At 41.6% G+C, this 22,770-nt stretch overlaps 1 protein-coding gene across 16 annotated transcripts in view, besides 2 other annotated features; it reads right to left on the reverse strand.

The window, feature by feature from the left end:
• The window catches only part of KLF7 (KLF transcription factor 7), a 99,715-nt gene that overhangs the window by 58,943 nt on the left and 18,002 nt on the right, over positions 1-22,770 (reverse strand). The window contains exon 1 of one of the 16 annotated variants that reach the window (XM_047446148.1): positions 15,903-16,121. The exons of 14 other annotated variants lie outside the window; for them this stretch is intronic. In XM_047446148.1, the coding sequence (XP_047302104.1) occupies positions 15,903-15,911 (9 nt within the window). In that variant the 5' untranslated portion in view covers positions 15,912-16,121. Of the gene's footprint in view, positions 1-987; positions 1,059-15,902; positions 16,122-22,770 lie in introns of those variants that run through there. One more of the 16 variants, NM_001270944.2, reaches the window with a different exon arrangement.
• Positions 9,203-9,704: an enhancer, noted in NCBI's record as "NANOG hESC enhancer chr2:208007006-208007507 (GRCh37/hg19 assembly coordinates)". NCBI's record gives its function as "activates a minimal SCP1, AML or CMV promoter by ChIP-STARR-seq in naive H9 embryonic stem cells {active_cell/tissue: H9 hESC(naive)}" and the evidence as "EXISTENCE:reporter gene assay evidence [ECO:0000049][PMID:30033119]".
• Positions 16,046-16,547: an enhancer, noted in NCBI's record as "H3K27ac hESC enhancer chr2:208013849-208014350 (GRCh37/hg19 assembly coordinates)". NCBI's record gives its function as "activates a minimal SCP1, AML or CMV promoter by ChIP-STARR-seq in primed H9 embryonic stem cells {active_cell/tissue: H9 hESC(primed)}" and the evidence as "EXISTENCE:reporter gene assay evidence [ECO:0000049][PMID:30033119]".

The raw sequence follows: 22,770 nt of genomic DNA on the forward strand, positions 1-22,770 counted from the left end.
AGAGACAACACTGCTTATGCAGAGCTGGGGCCTAGAAGATGCTCCTGTATGCTATCCCCTCATCTCCTATGCCCTCATCTCCCAACCAGGCCCCTATTCAGGTTGGCACTCACTGGTGGAAATCCCACTTGTTACATACAGATTGAAAGCAAGTTCCATTAGATGGCCCTGCTTTGGTCATTACACTTCCACGGACAAAATGAAATTCACATCTTAAAGAGTCAATAAAAATAATCCTACCCATACTACTGGGAAGTGCAAAGGGCTGGATCTGCACTGAAAGTGAGATTTAAGAATGAGAAAATGCAGGAGAGACACTCCAATGGGAAAAACCCATCACATCCCATGACAATGGCAACCAGTCGGTCCCTGCTCCAAAAGGAGAGGACTCTAAGCAGTTCGTCAAGAGCCCAAGGACGTGGGAGGAGGCCTCTTTTCAGAGGAGTGATGGCTTCCTAAGAACAACAATGGCCCTGTCGCTTTTTCAGCTTCCCATTAATTTTCCATAAAGAGCAGTTTTCTTGACGAGCGCTTGTGTCAGGCAGGGCCTGATGCTTCAGAAACCTGTAATTATTCTTGGCTCCCCACCCCCTACAGCCTCTGCACCTGTGTCAGTTCAAGGCACCAGCTGGCCATGTCTTGCCTCCTGCCTCTTAAGAGGGGGAGGGGGGGAGCCATCATTGAAAACCCAAACTCACATTACTCGCCTCTTCTTCCAAAATGCAACAACAAAACAAAAATTTTAAACTCACCAATCTCATTCCTCCCCCCAGTGGATCTTGCCAAAGGAAACAAATAAACATTAATTGGCTAGAGAGCCCTCATTCAAACCAAAATTACTGAAAAACACAGTAACAGGGAAAGGTCTGACAAGGCATTATTAATCCTGTTTTACAGCCCGCTCTTATGCACCCCCACCCGCTCCTGTTAACTTTGCACACACACTCACACACCCTCCTCAAACTCCCTGGGCCCCTTTACACTCACTGGCCAAGACGGGAACATGCCGAACCAGTTACATCATCTCCCCTTCCTCTCCCAAATCACTTGCACAGGCTGACTCGGGCTACTGGGATTTTTTTTTTTTTTTTTTTTTAAAGCAAACTCATTTCATTGGCTCCTTCCTGGAACACAGTCATCTCCTTCTCAGTTGGGTTAATTAATATACCCTTCCCCTACCCCCATAAAAAACACACAGACACATACGATTACTTCTTGTACTCCAAAGCACAGCTGCACACGTGTACAACGTTCTCTCTCTCCCTCGCAGCTTGAATTTCCCAAGAATAACAGGTTCAAAGCCCATTGGGCCCTCGGTGGCAGATGCAATTTAGTGGCTGGTAATCATAGAGGATGCTTTCAAAACGGAGAGCTTTGAGGAACTTCCACTGCGGAATGTTAAAGACAAGGTGGGGGCGCTAGGAGGAATGTTTCTTCTACTCAGAATGCATAAAATGGCAGCCAAAACCATAATGAAGTCAAGCCCTAAGCTGTTTTTCCTGATATGGATTGTTGTACTGTTACTTGAGATACTTGGACTTGATTTCCCACAATGTTTAAGGTGGCTGTGTGGGTGTGCCAAGTGCCACTCACTCCAATTAAAGAAACAGACTGGCCATTCGCATACTGAGAGGCAGAAGAACAGGGACCCAAGCATTGGCCCTGGAGCCAGACTGCCTGGGTCCAATATCAGGTTACACTACTCACTAGCTCAATCCCCCTGGGAGAAGTTAACCCCTCTGTGCCTCAGTTTCCTCACCTGTAAAATGGGGTAATAGTAGTACCTACAACGCAGAAGCATTGTGAGAGTTCAATCAATTGACATGCCAAGTACTTGGAAGGGCTGGGCATGCACACTCTGTATGTTGTAGCTATTCAATAACTAGTGTTATTTTTCATTACACTTCCAGACAGACATAAAGAAACCTATCGAGGGCATGGAGATGGAAAATAAAAAATACCAAATAAGTTTCCAGGGGAAGTAAACCTGTTGGATATAAAAGTTTAAGTAAGCAGGGGACTCTGAGTTGGGAAGATCAACCCTGACTAGCTGGGTGACTTTAACTTCAATGGGCTCAGTTTTCTCATCTACCAGCTGAACTTCCAGGGGCCCACTAATCTGGAATTCTATGAGGAAGCAAAACAGTAATAGGAGAGTGAAGACTGAACAGTAAGAAAAGCTCATTCAGAACAAGTTCAGAGGAACTGATAGATAGCTCTGCTGTCATTGAGTGGTTAAAAAAAAAAAGGGTTTGGAGAACCTGGAAGAAAGTGGTCTTTGAACCCTCCTCTGACAGGGACCTCAAGGCCTTTATTAAAAGCCCTAAGACACTCAATAATCCATGTTTACAGGATGCTATGAAGGTTTAATTTCCTGCTTCACCATGGATACAAGCCTCACAACATCTAAAACGTAAACTTCACAAGAATGTGACTCTTCAAAGATACCAGACCTGTGCCTGACTTGCAGCCTGCCTCAAGCATTTGTCAAATGAATGAATGAATGAATGAGTAATTGAATCAACTCCCAAACAATCAAAGTGAAAGTCAACAGTGATCACAATCCTGGGTAGGAAGAGATTCAAGAGTATCATGAAAGCCAGAAATTCTTCCTTCTTCACCAAAGGAACATCAGAAGCAGTGTGCATGTGTTTATTACCAACATTTCTGGTAGAACACGTCAGTATTTTCAGATTTAACTATAGGTGTTATTTACTTGTCTCTAACGTTTTTCATTTGGAAAAAAAAAAAATTAAATGCTTACTGTCTGGGACAGATCCGGATTTCTAAACAGAGAGGCCAATTTAGCTTCACGGGGTAGCCCTGAGAGTATGCACCTGTGTTGGAAGTAAAAGCTGTCTCCTTGCCCTGGAGAATGCCCTCTCCCTCTGCCACTTCCTCTTTTCTCCTCTGGCCTCCAGAAACCACCAGGAAGAGAAGCAATTAGGATGAGTGAACAAAACGCTATTTTCAACTGTCATTTTTTATTGGTGAAAAGAACTCTGGCCTGGGAATCAGGTTCAGCGCCTGCCTTTCCCACACCACCCCTTCCCTTTCCAGCAAACTACTGAATCTGAGTAGAGAATTCACTTCCTTCCCTGAAAAAAATGGATGAACCACACTCTCAAAGACTCTTTCTGGCTCAAACTTCTTGCTGATAATCCTTCAGTGGCCTGTTGTCACTCTCAGTTCCTTACCACAGCAAACCAGACTCTACATGATCTGACCTTACTCTTTTCTACTCCTCTGCTTCTCCCCTTCAGACAGGACACTTCTCGCATAAATGCCCCCAGTTCATCCCTCTCTCAGAGCCCTAGTAACTCCGTCCGCATCCCAGAACGCAGACTCCCCAGGTCACTGCACATCTGTTTCCTTTTCATCGATTATGTCTTAGCTTCATTGTCACCTACTCAGAGAATCCTTCTTTGACCTGCCTAGAGAAACTAGGCCAAACAGCCCATTCATTCTTCATCATACTACCTCATTTTATTTGCTTTTTAGAACTTACCAAGTCCTGGAAAGGTCTAAATTATTTGCTTGCATGTTTATCGTTTATCTTTCCCTATTAACATAGAAGTTTCAGGAGAACAGGGATTTAGTGTATGTACCAGTGAATCCCCAGCACCCAGCACAGTACCTGGAAAAGACATCCAAAACATACTAGTTGAATCAATCAGTGAACCAATGAAGCCACTAATCAATCCCGGAATTCCAGGGAACACGTGAGCTGGTGTCTCCAGTCAGAAAATCTATCCTAAAATGCTCACCTTATTAGGTCAAAAGGCTCCCTCATCATTTCTCCTCAGTGCGAGTTTTTACACTGAGAAGGCACTTGCTGCTTCGTACTCATCAGACAGAAGCCAAATGGAGCCTCTTTTCAAGGTGGAGAGGTCAGTTGTGGGTGCTTGTGGCTGCCCATTTCAAATAGACACAAAGAGGGCTTTTCTCCTCAGCAGTCCATATTGCATCATGCATTCACTAACATGAACAAAACCCACCCCTCCCCTCTCCTCACCTGCATAATGACTGCTTATTAACTGGTATCCTGGGTGAACAGATCAAAGAGACAGGCTCAGCCCACTTTATTCCCATTTCTGTCACCTAACAGGATGTCCCTGAGAAAGGCAACTCCAGCCACCAGTCTCTGAAGCACTTGAGGGTCACAGGAATTCATTCCCTGACATTAGCAGCCCCACTTCTATCAGTCCTTACATGAAAGGTCCTTAAATGAAGAGGTCCATTCAAACCTAGCAGTTGGCGAGGACTCGTGTTTTCTGTAAGCCCCACACACCACTTACACAGGTGAGGTCCTTTAAAATTCCTATGTGGGCCCATCCTGGTATCTTTGCCATAAATTCCTAAACACAGAAGCTTTTCCTTCCCTCCCACTCCCTTTAAGAATTTTACATGAAAAGGTATCTCTACTGAGAAGTGCTATTTATTTCAGGATCATTATTTCACAGATACAGAACCCTCGAACACTGAACCTGGAAGTGAGCCAAAATCCAATTAAGAGGGTATGGAGTTTGAACTAGGCAAGAGTGGAGGATGGAAATATGGAATATAAGCAGTACAGGGTTCCTATGAGTGTGAGTGTGTGTGTGCATTCACATGTGCATAGTGTGCCACTGTTAATGAAGTGTAGATTCTCTTTAATGTATTTTGGATGCCTCTCTCTCTAAATCTTTCGTTGTCCCTAGAGTCACAAAGATGTTCTTTCTCTTATTCATTATGTCAGGCAATAGGAATCTTTCCCATCCTGGCTGGGGAAAGATGAGGGAGAGGGGAAGAGTTGATGTTCCATCATGTAAAGAAAAGTAAAATTGTGCTTTGCCCAATTCTGAACCCCATTGCAATGTTGCAGATTTCAAATTAACAATTCAACCCAACATGACAGGGAAAAAAATCAAGTGCTGAGACCCTGAAGTTTGGATTCCAGTAGCTCTGGCACCTCACTTAACCTTAGGTGGCTTGACTGATACCGAATGACATGCACTTTCAGGCACACCAGACTCTCATTGAGGAAGAGACATTAATTTGAATCATCACTGCCATCCCCTCTCCCCTTTGTTCCTGTCTGAACCAATTTCCATATAGTTTCAAAGAAATCATCAGCCCATGCAAAGGAGAAATCCCAGTGGAGCAAGAACTACATTAGCAGCATAAGGGGGAAAATCTAATTTCCAATCCAGTTGCTTTGTTGTTTCAACCTCCAAGGAAGGTTGCTACATATGCACAACACAAATTAAGTTTTAAAACACCATCATGATTTAAAATTAATAAACACTCTCATGGGAAAAAGGTGGTCCTTGATACAAATCTTCTCATACAATGAAGGTCAACTCCACCAGAGCTTGTGGGTGGTCTGGGTCTTTGAGGTCTCAATCATCTCAGCCAAAAAAATATTTAAGAACAGCATATATTCATTGAAACCACTGCATCTGCTACTTATAGTTAATGGTGAGTTCATTCTTAGTCTAAGGCAGTATCCACATTAAGAATTCTTAAACTACCTTGTTGACAGATCCCATGGAAATGTATTTTAGTGGTCCAAATTAAGAATTCTTTTTTGGCATGACAAGATATGCCAATACAATTTCCTAGTGCCCTACTTACTAGAATAAAACTCATGGCAAGACACCAGTGTGACTACATCATTAATTAACCTGAACCACATACCGGAACACTGCTGCTAATAAAACTCCTCTATAAAGAAAACATGTTTTCTCTGCTGAGAATCCTGGAATGTAGGCCCCAGCAGAGCTGCTGCCTTAAATAAGGAGATATTTCGATGTTTGTGTCTGTGTCTGCGATTGCCACGAAATTTGGTCATTTATTTGGCTTGATCTTCAATAACTTGAGTTCTTCCTTGCGTGTGCTTTTTTGGAAAAGAAAATGAAAATGGCGCCTACACTATCAGGATTTGCTAACAACTATGTGAATGAGAGGATCCTTTTTGCGAAGGTAGGGGATGCTTTATCCTCACTCTTTTGAAAGCACGCCCTGAGCTTTCAGCCCACGAGGTACTGAATCAGAGACCTGTAGAAACCATCCATCTTCTCTAGAAAACAGGCTGACAGAAACAGGAGCAAAGCTGTAACAGCTCTAACTCCCAGGTGAAACTGGGATTTTTCCAATCCATTCCATATGAAATGACATACATTTCTTTTTTCTTTTACAGAGAATTCTTTTGGGAAAAGCATCTGAAAATGCTTATCGATACTTATCTGGTAATCTTGTAACCTTGGAGTCCCCCTGTGAGACTGTAATAGGCAGCAAAGATTAAAATCCCCATCCTATTTATGGGGAACCTAACTTAGTAAAGAAAACTGAGTTTTTCACTGTTCTGTAACCATACTACCAAAAAGACCAGAAACAGAACGAAAAGTTTCTTGGCCACTAACAATTAGGTTTTTTTTTTTCTGGTCCAACCCTGAACTTTCCACCAAGGATCTCAAAACATTCTAAAAATCCAACAAACCATTATCTCTTAGTACCTTGGAAAAACAAGGATTCCTGATGAAGATTTTGGATCTTCTCAAGTTGGAAACCATCAGATCCCAAACTTCATTTCATAAGCTTTTCAACTACATTTCTCTACGTAATCTCTCCTGGTGAGACTGGGGCAAATAGTCTTGGTTTTGACAACACCCTTAATTATGCAATTTCCGAGTTCTCTCTGGTCATTGCAAGTCTTGGTTGAATTGTTAAAAGCAAATGGGATTTCAGACATTTCAACCTGTCAACATCAAGTGTAGTCATTGAGAGGAAAACAGATAGAATTAGAATCATTTTTTAAGATCTTTTTTTTCTTTTCTGAGACAAGAGTCTTTCTTTTTTGAGACAGTCGCCAGGCTGGAGTGCAGTGGCGCAATCTCAGTTCACTGCAACCTCTGCCTCCCAGGTTCAAGCGATTCTCCTGCCTCAGCCTTCCGAATAGCTGGGACTATAGGTGCCCGCCATCACACCCAGCTAATTTTTGTATTTTTAGTAGAGATGGGGTTTCACCATGTTGGCCAAGATGGTCTCAATCTCTTGACCTCGTGGTCCGCCCACCTCGGCCTCCCAAAGTGCTGGGATTACAGGCATGAGCCACTGGGCCTGGCCTGTTTTTTTAAGATTTGAATTGAGAAAACTTATAAACACAATTTATTGAAGACCTTATTTTGGTTATTTGATTAATACCAAATACATAGAAACTCAAATTTATATAATTTTTAAAGGGGGGATTTGAACCTGCTATCCAACATTTTAAAAAACATTTTCTAATTTTAATAAATATGAAAATACAAATTGGACTAAATAAGTCAACATTTTTCTCCCAGTCCTTAGAGACTAATGCATTTTCCAACACCAGTATCATATATCACCCATCCCTTTTGTTCAAAACAGAAAATGCAGTGAGGAAAAAAAAGCATGTAAGAAATAGAAGCAACAAGAGGAGTAAAAATAGGAGCAATGGAAAACAGATGAACAGTAAGCATCTCATTCTTGTATAAAAATCTTGGATGCCAGTAGCTGCTCCCATCAGTAACACACCTCTAACCAAGAGGATCATCAAACTCTGGGAAGCAGATCACCTCAAGGGCACAATTTACACTTGGCCCTGCTCCCTACATGGAGCCTAAACATTAAAGTAGTTGTGTCTATAATCACCTGTTAGTAACAGACTAAAAAGAAGGGTGGGCCAGTGGGTGAGGAAGACTATTGTGATTCAGAAATGTATGCTGGTAGAAGACCATCTCTGTTAAAAGCAGGCAATTAAGTATCTCATTGTAAAGGGTACCTGATCCGTCTTGGACACCAAATCCTTCAACTTTGAGACTTTTTGTAAGTATGTAAAATAAAAGACAATGTGGAGTCATGGAGAGAACACAGACAAAAGTCAGGATGACTTCTGCCTGCTCCTTCTACATAATTAGCTCTATGCGTTTCCTCAAGTCATCTCATCTTCAGTCTCTGGTTTCTTTATCAAGAAACCAAAAGTATTAGTATATATATAGAGATATATAAAATGGACTATATATATATCCTTCCCAATGGTATGAAAATCCTCCGTGAATATAATAAATTTCTCATGACCAAATCTTGTTTGCTTAGGGAACCAGGGTATGAGGAAAATGGAATTCCCTACTCTGATCCCTCTGCTTATAGCAGTGCCATGCTCCAGGTATCTCAATTTCAGACTCTGGACTGCAGTTTCTGCTCAGTCTCCTAGACAAGGTCCCATGATACAAGACCACATACTTGTCCTTAGGGTGCTGCAGTAGGTAGATGCTATTTCTGAGGATGCTTTCCTCTAAAAGGTAACACATCTTCCCATAAATCTAGGTTAGGAATCAAACTCAAACACATTCAGGGACTAGGAGCATAACATACATTAGTGAAACAGTCAAGGAATATGACAATAATGAGGGGTGGGGACTGTGGTAAACTGGATAGCACATGCCATCTAAAAGGGGAAGTTGGTACATAGCACCAGCTCATCGATATCATGTAGAAAACAGAGGTCCAGAGTTGGCAAGTGTTTTTAAAGGAAGCCCAAATCTTTTGGGGTTTATGTGGAATCTCTCCAATTGTTTCAATGTTGGCAATGAGTATTAAAAAGTTAGAGTGCGTGAGACAAGCAAAGGGCCCACAGCTGCCAGTCTGAGCCTTCTGTTTCAAATGAAAGCAGAGGCAAAAGAAAAAAACAGAGGCATATTTGGGCAGTTCTTTCTTCCCTGTGGATCCAAATTATGGTATAACTGTCTCTTAGGGTAGTTATCAGCTGGAGAACCTTAAGCCTCACGTCCCACAGTTTCCCTAAGAAATCCCTTATTTGAGGAGAGACCCAGCTGAAGGAAATAATGATGAGCTGCACTTTCATTCGGCCCTGCTCAGCTCCTCCTGCCCCGCAGTACTCGGCTGGAATCCCTGCTCTCAATAAGAATCTTGTCACAAGAATGAGAAATCTGTAGAGAAGGCACCATGAAATGTCAAGCAGGAAGAGGCAAGAGCTCTGACAAATCCAATGAGCCTTGAGGTCTGGCACCAAGCTTTAAACTTCTTTTGGGCATAATCAATAGCTGCTCAATAAATACTTCTTCAATGAATTTTTTAAAAATCTTGATTAGGAGCTACTATTATTTTTCATTGCATGCTCTTCACTGAGGTGACTGGGAGATTGGTAGATTTTGCCCAATAAGATAATGAATGCCTGGGGAGAAAAAGCTCTGCTAAGATAAACAGGTGACACCTGTTTGAACTCTGATGGCCTTTCAGGGCAGGGTCTGTTATCTTGTACTTCTTTCAAATTAATTCAACAGTTATTTACTGAGCTTCCACTTTATATAGGACATTGTGCTGGAGACTTCAAGCGATTCTAGAGCTCAATATCTGCCTACAAGGTGCTCATGGTATCACAGGAAGAGAGGGATAGAAATACATGCAATTCAAGATAACACAGCACATGCGACTAAGCACTAGGCTGAATGAAGTGGTATGGCAACACAGAGAAGGAACCCACTCACTCTCCCTGCAGAGGTCAGTGAAGGCCTTGTGAAGAAGTCACATTTGAAACAGACCTTGGCAAATGAGTGAACTTTTGCCAAGTGGAGAAAGGGAACAATGACATTCTAAAAAGTGCACACAGTGTGAGCAAGGGTGTAGAGAGGTGAAAGCCCCACTGTGTGTCTGGAAAAGGATGAGCAGTCTAGGATTCTGATGAATGGGGTACACATTACGGAGGAGCAAGAAATGCATGCCCTCGGGCCTAAAAAATGTCTTCTATTTTTGGCTGACAATTACATTGGTGGTTTGCTCTGGGTTAAGCTTTGCCAACGCACTTCTAAAAGGCAGTAGCTGTTTCTCTAGATCTTCAGTGATAACTCAGGGAAAGATTAAAGAGCTCAAAAGATATTAGTGAAACCCAGTAGCCGTATTAATGTTGCCCAGTGATATTCCTGAACCTAAATGTCAAAGAAATCATTCAAGGCATTTTCTTTTTCAGACTGATACTCCCAATTTAGAAAACAACACAACAACAAAAACATAACAAATCAAAATGAGGACAAAACCCAAAAAGATGGAAATAAATACTATCAAAAAAAATCTTAGCTAAAATACAATGCCACTGGATTAAGCACAGAATTAAACTCATCTCTGATTTGCCTGGTAGCTGAAGCAAAAAGATCAACAATGAGTTAGGAAATTCTCATCATCAAATAAAAGAAACGTCAGTTCCTCAGAGATCAGTTGATCTTCACACGTAAAGTTTAAAGTAAAAGGAGGAGGAGGAGAAGAAAATGAGGAAGAGGAACAAAAGAAATGACATGAAAAAAAAAAATCCCTCCATTTACCAAAAAAAAAAAAAAGTTAAACTGTTTCTATTTAAAACCCTCAAGTATTTTGTCAGTTGAGGGAACTGAAGGTTCGGAGTCTGGGTATGTTTTTCTGCTTTGTAGCCTCTCTCTGTTGATGTTTTTCTGGCTTTCTAAGCAAAAAGGAAACCTCACCCATTCCTGTAGACATGCATTTATGACCACATTCTCCTGGCCAGTAACCCTCAGTGGCTCGTGGAGGCTCTCTCAAGGGTGGCATGTCAGGCAAATGGATTTGGCTATGGAGCTACTGCTTCTGTGGCTACTACTCAGATTCAACGCAGGCGCCTTCAGCGAGGGCTCCAGGGCAAGGCTCACTCATTAAGGACAAAATGTGCAGGCACATTTGACCTTTGGAAATCCAGCCCTGGTCTGAAGCTTCCAGATTCAAAACAAAAGCTTCAGGGCCGGAAAGAGAGTTAGAGGAGGCACACTTCCTAGCTTGGGGCCCATCCCCCACACATTCCCCCTGTGACTGAGAGGCTCACAAAACCAATAGAGCAGCATTATTAACTCTGCAATATCATAAGAGAGGGCTTCGCTCTCTGCCTTGGTGGAGAGAGAGAGGCCAGGGGAGGGGCAGGCTGGCTCCAGGGGAAAGCATGCTTCATTAGAGTCTTAACTCAAGGGAGGCAACTGCTTGTGTAAGCGCAACAGATGAACGCAATGTAGAGAGGCTCCCATAAAAACCCTGGCCCTGGTCTAGGAGTCGTCACAGCGGGGGGGAGAAAAAAAAAAAAAAGCATAGCTAGACTGAGCAAAGGCTGGGTGGCAGAGAGCTGTCATTTGGCATAGACTTCCAAAATGCCAGCAAGTGAAAAGTCATGTCAAGGGACTAACCTAAGGCAGAAGTTTTAAATGTGTCATACAAATGGGATGCTCCTTCATCTGCAGTCACAAATTTTAAAGCATCCACTGTCAATCATTTTTCACTCTGTTTTCTTGGGTTACCGACAAGTACCCAAATGAACACTTATACATTTTTTCACCAGAACGAAATAATAGCTCTACTTCATGAAAATGACACCACCAACCCTATCCTTGTGTTCCTTCTGATTTGCCTAGGACTCCCACCCAGCTGGGTCACTGTTTCCCTCTCATAGGTCATATGACCCAAGCCAACTGCCTCTATCACCAACTCCCATGATACCCAATGAACACAGGGTGGCTCAGTCTTCCCCTTTCTTTGAAGATCTGTGCTGGTCTTTCGGTCATCCTGCCACTATCCCCAAGCAGCTTCCATATCTGTCATTTCAGGGCAGCAAATCTGCTGACATTAAAAGTAAACCAACTAAGTTTTCAAACACATCTTAGTCCCCAAATCCTTCCTCCAGTCATGCAGATCAAGTAAATGTCTTATCTTTATGAAGTCGTGGTTGGCTTCAGCTTCTCCAATTCTGGCGTTTGATTCTAGATAGAAGGTTAAGTACCCCCTGTTGCACATCAGACTTGCATCAATTCAATCCATTTGCTGTTAAAGAAGCATCACACTTCCCAGAAAGGTTTTTTTCCCCTTTAGCCACATACCAAGCCAGAATCAGACAAATGCAGCCTGAAGTATTTTTAGTTATTATTCACATTTGTCAACAGGGACAGTGACAACTCACCAGTCCGTTCTGGGGCAGAACTTAAGGAATGGAACTCTCGTATCTATATTGTAAAAACGAATTGCCACCACTGATGACCATAACTACCTGCTGCTTACATGTATACAGACTTTGTTAGGAAATACTGTGCAGTAACGTATCATTAAGACCTTACTGGCAGGCTCAGTCAAAATCTCTTATTTGACATGATTTAATATGTAACATGGAAAGACCCAATAACTTTTCCTATTCTTCACTCATTTTTTTCCAATGGAAGAAATACTACAAATACACTAAGAAAGAAGTTGAGAGTTTCTTTTAATGAACCTTTAAACAATAATACATCTATTCAACACTGGCAATATACCTACTATATAAAGTATGACAACTTTTTTGCTTAGCAAGATGAAAATTACAGGTAGATACATGGATGGGAAGTTATCAAACCCAAAAAGAGACTAATCATAAATGAAATACAGGTGTCAGTTGTAAGTGTTCTCAATGTCTGTTCCATTTTAGATTCCTTTTGAGTGGTAACTGTAAACTTTCAGGAAAAGTTTTTGAGAAGAATATTTTTGGGAAGATGAGTAGAAATATTCCTTCATTATGTCAGATGTGACTGTGAATGTCACTAAGGAGTATTCTTTCCTGGCACCCTAATCTTTCCCTTATTTCCCAATCACAATTTAAACTTCTGTGCCTATTTATCTTCCAGGTCCACCTCTAGACTTTAAGTTCCACAAGAGCATGGGCAATGTCAGGTTCACCACTGCATCCTCAGCACCTAGCACAGTGTGGGGCACACAGAAGGACCCCAGGAAAGGAAGAAAGAGATAAGGAATGAGGAAAGGAAGGAGAAGGGTGGAGAAATTAAGTGAATGAACTAAAGAAAGAGAACCAAAAAATCACCAAAGAGAAATAAATTATAGCGATGAAATTGAGCATTCTCTACTTCCTTCTCAAGAGTTGCAATGGTTTATTATGAACGAGTGTGACCATTCTAATGTCTTCATCCCTTGCTGATGGGTGATGGACCCTGCTCCAGCAAGGGCCAGTCAACTGCAGGACTACAAGTAAATAACATTCTGATATAAAGTGACCAACAGGCAAGTGGACAGGTGAATACATAAAGCACAAAGCCCTCTATGCAGCCAGGGTGTTTTTGAGATTCTCCTGTTCTCATCTCTTCATACATATCACCCTTCCTTCCATTGAAGCTACCATGTATATTCCCCACATTCTCTCCATTTTCTCTTGCAGGTTACTTTGGGGGAATTCAAGACACACTAGAATTAAGCATATCTTAGATCACTCCCCTCCCCTGAGGACTCCCAGTCACTTTCTGGCCTATGCTCTTCAAGTACCAAGGCCTGGAACAATATGGATTTGCCCCCTTCCCCTGAGTCAGACCAATATAAAGCTGTCACTGCTGCTTCCCGTCTTGCTTTCTGCACCAGACCCCTTTCCCTTGCTTTATGGGATCCTCCCCTTTACCTCCTCTGGAATATTCCCTTCTCTCAGTCTTCCTTCTCCTTAGGGGACCCTTTCTGTTGTCCTGTGTTTCCCTTGGGGATCTCCACTCCCACAAGTAAGTATCTTCCAGGATATCCTGGAAGTAAGGCTTCTGGACTTCCTTTCTTCCTTTTACTTATTCCTGCTCAAGAGAGAAAGTGGTAGCATTGGAAGAAAAAACAAAAAGAAGAAAAAAAAACCAGAAAAACGGAAGAAAGAGAAAACAGTGCATGGCCCATTTGTCTCTCATCCGGCCTCTTTCCTGGAGGGCTTTACTCTGCCCTCTTCCATGGGGGAAGCAGCTTGGGGCCAGAACATGAATGCCCCACTGATGCCCAGATAGGACAGGTAGGGCACGGACATTCCTGGCAACCTGCTATTCTATGCAACATATACTTTCCCATGGTATAAGTCAGCCCATGGGCTAGAAGGGGTTGGGCACAGGGAAGTATGGGGAAGCTAAATTGAGACTGCACTTGCCAATTGGGTATAAATCCAGTTTCATTAATAATAAAGCTGATATTTGACCTCTGTCTGGTTCCTATACCTATCTTCTCAAATAGGTTAAGAGAGGGGTGAAGTGTGGCAAATTTGTTGCTCCCATTAAAAGAACAGCAATTGTACTGTAATTATAGACAGTGGTTAGTGGTCCAAATTATTGGTCCTCTTAAGATGCCTGCTGTTTTTTCAGTTAACAAATAAAATTTCAAAAAACAGAAACACAGGATAACATAAGTGGTCCACCATTCCATCACCTAAATTGCTCTTAAAAAAATTAAAAGCAATGATCATATATGAAGGTCAAAAACATTGAAACAGAACAGAAAAGGTATAAAAAGTAAAAATCTGACTTTCTTTGCCCCCAGCACTCTCCCCTCCTTCTCCCTCAATTTGTCAAGTGCTTATATATCCTTTTATTTGAAGTGTTATGCATATCAGCATACATAATAGACACTTTTATTCCTTCTTTTTTTCCCTCATTTACAGAAGATAATTGGCTTTTCATTTTAACAGCTGAAAGGCCCCAGGTGCAGAGTGGCTGGGGCGGAGGAGTCTGAAGGCTTCTATCCCCCACTCCACCCTCTGCCATGGCTCCCCTGGCCCCATAAAGGTTTCACCCCTATTTTCTAGGTGTTCTTACGACCACACCCACCCAATTCCCTCTGAGAAAGTGGCTCAAAATAAAATACGTCTTAGGATAGCTACATGAGATGGCGCCATTGGGAGAAGCTGGCGAAGCTCCTGTGTAACACGATATGCCGGATACTAACACCAGCCCCTCGCCTCGGTGGCTTCGATGGGTTCTGCTGGCCAAAGTTGTAACATCAGCCAGTTCTTGAAATGTTTTAGGAAGCGTTTGATTTTCTTTAAAAGACAAAACCATGTTTTCCAATAAAGCTAACTGCAGTGAACTTGGAATGTTACCACTTGATCTGAAGCATTTTTTTTTTAATAGTTAAGCTTCTACCCGCTTTTTAAAAATCAAAACTAAACCTTAAAAGTACATAAATATTTAATTTCACAGAGAAAGGTATGGCTCTCCAGATGGGGAGTCTGTCCAATTCATGATCTCAAGCATTTTATGGCAACACTTCCCTGTAAATCAAATTGGTGGCAAAAATCCAGCTGCATACTCAAGTGTTTTGTCACATTCCTGATCCCAGAATTTAATTTCTCATGTGGAAGTTTGAGCCAAAGGTATGTCCCAACAAATCCCTACAGAGGTTGGTTGAGAGGCTGACATTCCTGTCCCTCTTCACCTTCACTTACTCATGGAAGTCTGGGGCCAGGGCAAATGGAAGCTGTGAGCTTCAGGGACCCGCTCGACTTGACCTAGGGTCTACCCAGTCAGGCACAGCAAGAGAGGCTCCTCCCAAGCCACCATGCGGTACTGCTTCCCATGGTCATTCTACATGCAAGCTTTTGCTTTGAATGGATGTATAAAGACAAAGCTACTCAACCCAAAAAGATAGTAATGAGCAAAAATCCTGGTAGCCTAGTGATCAGATCCAGCCCACAATGGTTTTTTGACATATATACTACTTTCATTTTGCCCATATTTTTTTAAAATCAGGGGACTTCAAATAAAAATTCAGATTTCTAGCTTCTCTTGAAAAACCAAAAGATCTGGCGACAGGTTCTGCAACTCTCTTGAGCAGTATTTGGCTGGAGATGAATGGCAACTGCCCCTTCAGATAGGGTCTATACTTTCTATGTCACCACAGTTCCCACCACTCTCTAGTGCCTTATACTGTGCCTTCCTCACTCACTGACATTACCAGGCTGACTCCCCGGGGCCATCTTTATGACTCCTGCTCTCTGACTTTTCCTTTGCCAACATCTGCTTTGGGGGCAGGGATCTCCTATCACCCCTCCACCCTCACCTGATTCCCCATTCTCTAAATTCTTGGTGCCCTTAATATATGATATACCCAGTCATTACCTGTGTCATCTACTGTCCTTCCTTTTGTTCAAGACAACAAAAACAAAGGAATGTCTCCTTACAGCCAACTCTGTGTTCCACCTAAAGGATGCAGTTTCCATCAGCTCTTAGGGACTGATAAATCTGTCTTTTCCCCAGTCCCACCCAGTCATGTTGATTTCATAGTCAATAATAAGAAACTGGTGTGTTTTCTTTTTGGAGATGATCTTCAATAATTTTCTGAGGAGAAAAAATTAAAAATCTGTTAAAAGCAACACCCCCACTCAGCGCTGTCACTCTCTCTCCAGGAGGCTCTGCCTTTGTCTTCTAGACTAGCCATACATTTTTCTAGCACTTATCACTGCTGAGGTTCAGCAGGGGTGCCAGACTAACATAGAGAAAGGGGCCTCCTGGGCCCATATCCCAGGCTTGCCCATATCTGCTCTACTGGCAGCACTGTTAGTAGTCCAAGAAATCTCTGATGATCCATCCCGGCTGACTCCTGTGCTCACACTCTGCTCAGCGGTGGTGCTGTCCACTGTTGATAAGGCACTCCTGCCACAGTTTTGGCAACAGGAAGACATCGGGAGAGCCTCTCACAGACAGAGCTGCAGATATGCCTTCATTTCAACCAGTACTCTAGGTAAGGCAGTATGAGAGTGCAGCTTTGTACCTGACACCTGGGCTCCCCAATCCTTGTCAGTATGGCACCTGTCTTAAGCAGGATGTAAATCTCAACATATTCATTTGAAGAGTTCACAGGGGCTTGGCCAACACAGTCAATGTGGTCCTCGGGTCTGAGTTCAACCTTCCTTCCAAGCTGCAGTAACCTTCTACCAACTTTATCCTGGGCTAGGACAAGAGTCTGCATCTCCAAGAGCAACATACTGCTCTGTCATTCTGACCCCAGTGTGCCATAAACTAGGAGGCTTCCATGGACGTAGACATATAGGTAAGTCCAGGACTTCCTATCCAGGTAAGTCCCCGTCTTCTTATTATCTAACAACATGTGACAGTGTATTGTTAATGAGTCACTGTAGCCACACAGATGTCTACTTTCAGAAGCAAATAGTCCCCAGAATTCTCAGTTTTACCCAAAACCCAGACTTCCTTCATCCCTGAATACCACTACCACCCTCCCCCACAACCACACACACATACAGACATATACAAATGCACATGATTGTTTCATGAATGTGGTAAAATACAATTGTTAAGAATGTATTTTAAAAACTAAAGAGAAGCATATTATATCTATCCAATAGTTATACAATACTGTATTCCACAGACTAAGTTTACTTTGCAAAATTTAGCTTAAAGCAAACACACATGAATACACACGAAATAAATTACAAAGTTTTACGTCCCCATTTAGACAACCAGTAGGAAATTTTTCAAAGTACCACAATTAAGGTTCAAGTAACAGCCCCACTGGAACAAATAAAAAGTCACTAAGTTCCTGCTCGGAAAACTGAATAGAAATCATAAAGAGGAAGAAAGCCAACAAGAAGCGATAGTTTAAGGCTTGAAACAAAAGCCTCCCCCACTGCAGAATAGAAAACAATTACACCGTACAGCATGTAACAGTTTACAAAGCACTCTCACATCCATATAGCATTTGATTAGAGCAATCCTACTATCATAAGCCCTGCACTTCATATGGGAAATATAATTTAATAATTTGCTTTGTTTTATACTGATAAAGTCAGGACTAAATTCCAGGTTTTCTGATGCCAAATCCCTTGAATTTTCCACGACACCGGTATTTTTCAAACTTCAATTTCATTTCACCTTCACGGATTTTTACCAAATCAGCATTCCATCTGTACAATCATTCCCCTATTGTTTTCATTTTTACTTGCCTCACTAAGGCATTATATATTAAGGCTGCATGTGTTTTAAATTCTTTTCCTGCAAATGTTCATTAATAGAAGATAATCATAAAATTAAAAACAACAAAATCAAAACAATATTACAAACTTTCAACTGGAGGTTTGCCTGTCAAAAGCTCTGAGTGTAAGACCTGTTCTCTTTATTAAAAAAAAAAAAAAAAAAAGGAAGAAAGGAAGGGAGGGAGGGAGGGTGAAAAGGAGGGGTGAGGAGAGTTTACCAAGCCTTAGAGAGGCGTTAAAGACATGGCACCTCAAAGCTGACTGTCTCCTTGAGTTAAAAGGACTGAAAGAAAACAGCAATGGGAATAAAACTGCCTCCCGAGGTAATTCTGTGTTATCAACACTGCGCTTATGAAGCCCTGTGGAACTCAGCCCACCCTTCGAGAAGCAGTTCCCTCAGCCATGTTGCACCATGCCTTGTGTTAACATGTGAATATGTTTAAAATATTGCAAGGAGGCTCACAATTCTTGAGGGTCCAATACTGGCTTGGGCTTAAATAATGATCTCTGAAGCTCAGGCCAGTTATCCGCAAATTGAGGAGGGCAGGGGGGAGGGATCGGAAAGAGATGTCTAATACTCCTCAAGTTCTGGTATTTGTGAAGTCCTAGTCTCTATAAATATGGGGCATAAAAAAGAGCTCCTGGGTGCAAAAGCTGGAGGAAAAAGGCAGGCGCATCTTGGGTAGGAGGACAACTGGTTTGCATTCTGGTTCTCTTTTGCAGGGAAAACTGTGCAAGGACATTCTATGACCACATAATGTCTGCCTTTCCCTTTCTTTTTCTCTCTCTTCCTTTTTAGAAATATTTTTCAGAAATATTTTAATAGTAGCTAATTCACACAGTCAAATAGTCATTGGTTTTGAAAAATTTTACACACACACACACACACACACACACACAAAATAGTAATAATCTTGGGCCTTTATTTGGCACTCAAAATTTTTTAAAAAGAAAAAAAAGTAATCGGAGATTGGAAAAATGGAGGAACACCCAGCAGCAAGTAATTTTTTTAAATGGCTTTTTTTAATCAGGAAAAGAATGACCCTAAAAATCACCATCTGGTCAACCTAAATGATATCCTTAGTAATGTAAGAAAGCCAATATAAAAGAAAACACTTTTTAAAAACACCCCTAATGTAGAATAGCATCCTAAAAGCATTAGAAAAGGAAGGCCAAGTGCCTTGCTGGCAGTATTTGAGTGCCAAGGGTAGGAAGAAAACACATTACTTGATTCTCAGGAAAGTACTTTATTATAATACCCTGGACTTTTTCACACAAAAAGCATCACTTCCTCAGTGAAACAAGTCATATAAAATCCACTTCCACAAAAAAATAAGCAGTTACAGCGGTTAATGGAATTCTCTACAACATGCTTCTATGTCAGACTAAGAAAACTAAGAACTGGTTACATGTTTTTCTTACACACACACACACACACACACACACACACACACACACGGAGTTTTTACTACAACTGACCAGCTGGGTCTCTGGGAGTGGCAAAAGAAACTGTGACAATAGCAGGCTTTTTTGTTAATGAGGGATGTCTGATGGGAAAAAAAAATTGTTTGGTATTGTCTCATTTTACTCCCACTTAGACCAAGAGGCTGCATGCTCAGGAAAATCAGTCAGTTTCCAAATTGGAAAATGTTACAAATACCAATAAGGAATGAACATGCTCTAGAGCAACTGCTAAGCCCAGGCAGGGGGAGGGGTGAACCAGATGGTCTTTTCCATCCCAGATTTCGATGATCTACAACAGAACCTGAATGACTAGGAAAAAGTGAGATGCGATTTGGAAATTGCTTTATAAAATAGAATCCCAAACAAAGACACTCAACAAGGCAGAGAAATCTAAAAGGAAATGAAAATGGTTCTGGGTGAGAGCAGAAAGCAAGCCAGTTTGAGACTGTGATTGATAAATAAAGCTTGTCCCCAAATCAGAACATTTTGGAGCGGAAGGTGCCTTAGAGAGATGCTAGTCACAAGCCCAAATGCATGCTCACTGGGCCAGAGATCAGAAATTAAGCGAGGTGGAAATAGTGGGGACAGGGTTAATTGAAGAGTGCACGATCTGTCTAAAAGCATTCAAATTAAAGGGAATTGAAATATGCATGCCGGCCAAATAAAACACATCTTCAAGCCAGTTCAGTCTAGGAGCTTACTGTTTGTATGTCTGATAATCTCACTGTTCCTAAATCTACCTACACTGTTCACATGAGGAAACTGAGGACTAGAGAAGTCACATCATTTGATGATAACCACAGAGCAGCGAGTGTATACAGCAAAGCCAAAGTGCTAGGATTATGTTACACACCGAGATGATGTTAAACAACAGCAAAAATAAAAATGACATTAACCCAAAGTCCTCCGCACACCTTTGGTTCAGGTATACTCAGTTCACATGGTTTATTCTTTTAAGAACAAATTAAATTATCATCTAGTTAAACACAAAGCTAGTGAGAACTGGGGGAAGAAATAGAGGGAGGTCGTACTAAAAAAGAAAAAACAACAACAATGAAAGGTTCAGAGTCAGACATTTTGTTTCTCAAAAACAATAGTTAAATTTATAGTTAAATTTACTGCCCTGAGTCAGACATGGCAAACAGAGCTGATTTTACAGAGAGGTAAAGTGAGACACTTACCATGGCTGTGTCATGGTTTATTTTGTAATATATTTTTTAAAGTTAGGTGTTCAAGTTTCCTTCTAGATGCTTCTCAAAGAGCAAAGTGAGAAAAATAACTTCCATTCCTGGTATTGGCTATTAAGAATCTTTTTTTTTTTCTTAAGTGTAATTCCAGGGGAAAAAAAAACCTCAGTGAGATATATCAAGTAGTGGAAAATCTTTGCAGGAAAATCATGAAGTAGAGAGAAAGATGAGAACATCCTCCCTTGGGGCAGCTGGAAAGAGACTAGACAAAGAACTGAAAAGTTCCTTTGGGGAGCCCACCTCCTGCTAGCCAATGGGACTTTCCTTCCCTGGTTTCTCTGTAGCTAAGAAAACACAAATATATAATCTACAGAAGGAGAGAATGCAGCCTTCACACAGGGCTGGCATCTCTGAAATAAATCTCTCCATAGGTGCTAGGCTAAACCTTAAATATGAAGATATAATCTTTTGAGTTTTATAGCAGCATATGCATGATTCTTCCCCTCCCCCATAAAACTCTCAACAGGAACAACCACATCAAATTATTGCTTTTCAGAGGCCAATTCAAAAACACCCTACTTTATCACAGAAAGAATATTCCTTATGTATGTGAGTGCTTCCATTATGTCTTATTTGAAGGGGGAAAATGAAATAAAAATCCGATCTGAGATATTTATAGATCTCATAAAACCTGATTCACTCTCATAAGCTGCAGTAAGCTCAGTCATCAGGTAAGGCAGAAATGGCAGGTGTAGTAACCGGCACTGTATTATGTTATATATGCCTAATTCTGGCTCTTAAAAAAAATAACTGCATGCTAGAAAAACATAAGATACGTAAGTCATAAGTCAGACTGGACAGAAAGAAAGGGGAAGAGATTGGACATTTGCATGAACAAGCCAAGCAAATTCCAAGGATGTCAAACTAGGCCCAGTTTCCGGGCACAAAGGGTATTGCTAGTCCTCCCCCAGTTCCAAGCACAAATTACTTAATGAAAGTTTCCCTTGTGGATGGATAAAAGGTATACCATATCCAATGCCCAGCATTCCGCTTTCCCCTGCCTTCCATCATTTATTGTCTCTTGGGCATTCCAGGCTCACTGGGATCTTCAAGACACGAAAGACACCACTGAGAGAAAGAGCATTGTGCCTCTGTGTATTATTATTGAGAGGAAAATGGGGAAGGAAAGAGCATTTGTTGAGTGGATGTTATGTGCCAGACACTAGGTCAGAGAGCTGATTCTTATCAGGAATTAAGAACTCCACAAATGACAAACAAGACTCAGAGATGTTAAGTGACTTTCTCAAGGTTCCACCTCTGCTTGATTTCAAATCCTTCATGTAATTTGTCTACTATGAAACACTGTGACCTTAAAAGTGCCTCGCACAGTCCAGTCCTTTTACAGATAAGAAAACCAAAGCCCAGAAAGAAGACAGACCAATGAACTACTGGAATCCATACTGGGCCACTGACTGCCAGGTCACGACCTTTGGCTTCTGCCCTAATGTCCCCTACCTAAAGAGCAGTCAGTATAGATGTAACAATTAAGAGTGCTGGGCCCTGCTGAGGCTTGGATCCCAGCTCAAATACTTCCAAGTTGTATGATTTTAAGCAAGCCATTCAATACCTCAAATCTCAGCTTTTCCATCTGTAAAATGGGGATAAATAGAATACGCATTTCATAGAGCTGTTGTGAGCATTCATTGAAATGATGGATACAGGTGCTCAAATGAGATCATCTTTAGGAAGTGTCTGATACATATGAGACAGTACTATGATGGTTATTTTTATGACAGGAAGATTAGCCAAGTGGAAAGAGGGAAGAGAAAATTTATTCCACCAATGGTTTTTTGCAACTCATTTGCTTTGCAGCCACAGTAAGACAACTTGCTTAAGCTTCCTGTGCCCCATTTTCTCACCCCTGAATGGGAAATTCTGTAATATCTGTCTGCTCCCTAGTTAAAGAAAGAATGTGCCAATGACAAAAGACCAGGAGCAAAACACCCTGAGCCCTTCAGAACAAAGGCTCAACACAGATGTTTGTTACATTCTCATATGCAAACATAAAAAGACCCATCACAGAGGAAATCATCTCTTGATCCGTATTAAAGAAAAGCAAGAACCTTGAGAAGGGGAGGAGAATGTACAAATTAGGGCTGAACAATCTTGGAAGAAATGAAGTCGACTCAGGTCTGACCTTAAGCAGCATCTCATCACTCTCAGGGGAATCAGTTCTGCATAGGGCCTCACAGAAGACATCCTTCAACACCATAGTCAGAAGCTGCACTTCACTAACATGGTCTGTAGTGCCCATATGAACAAAGGCTAAAAGCTCAAAAGGCAGGG

Source organism: Homo sapiens, chromosome 2, assembly GCF_000001405.40.
Source record: "Homo sapiens chromosome 2, GRCh38.p14 Primary Assembly".
Classification (NCBI taxonomy): domain Eukaryota; kingdom Metazoa; phylum Chordata; class Mammalia; order Primates; family Hominidae; genus Homo; species Homo sapiens.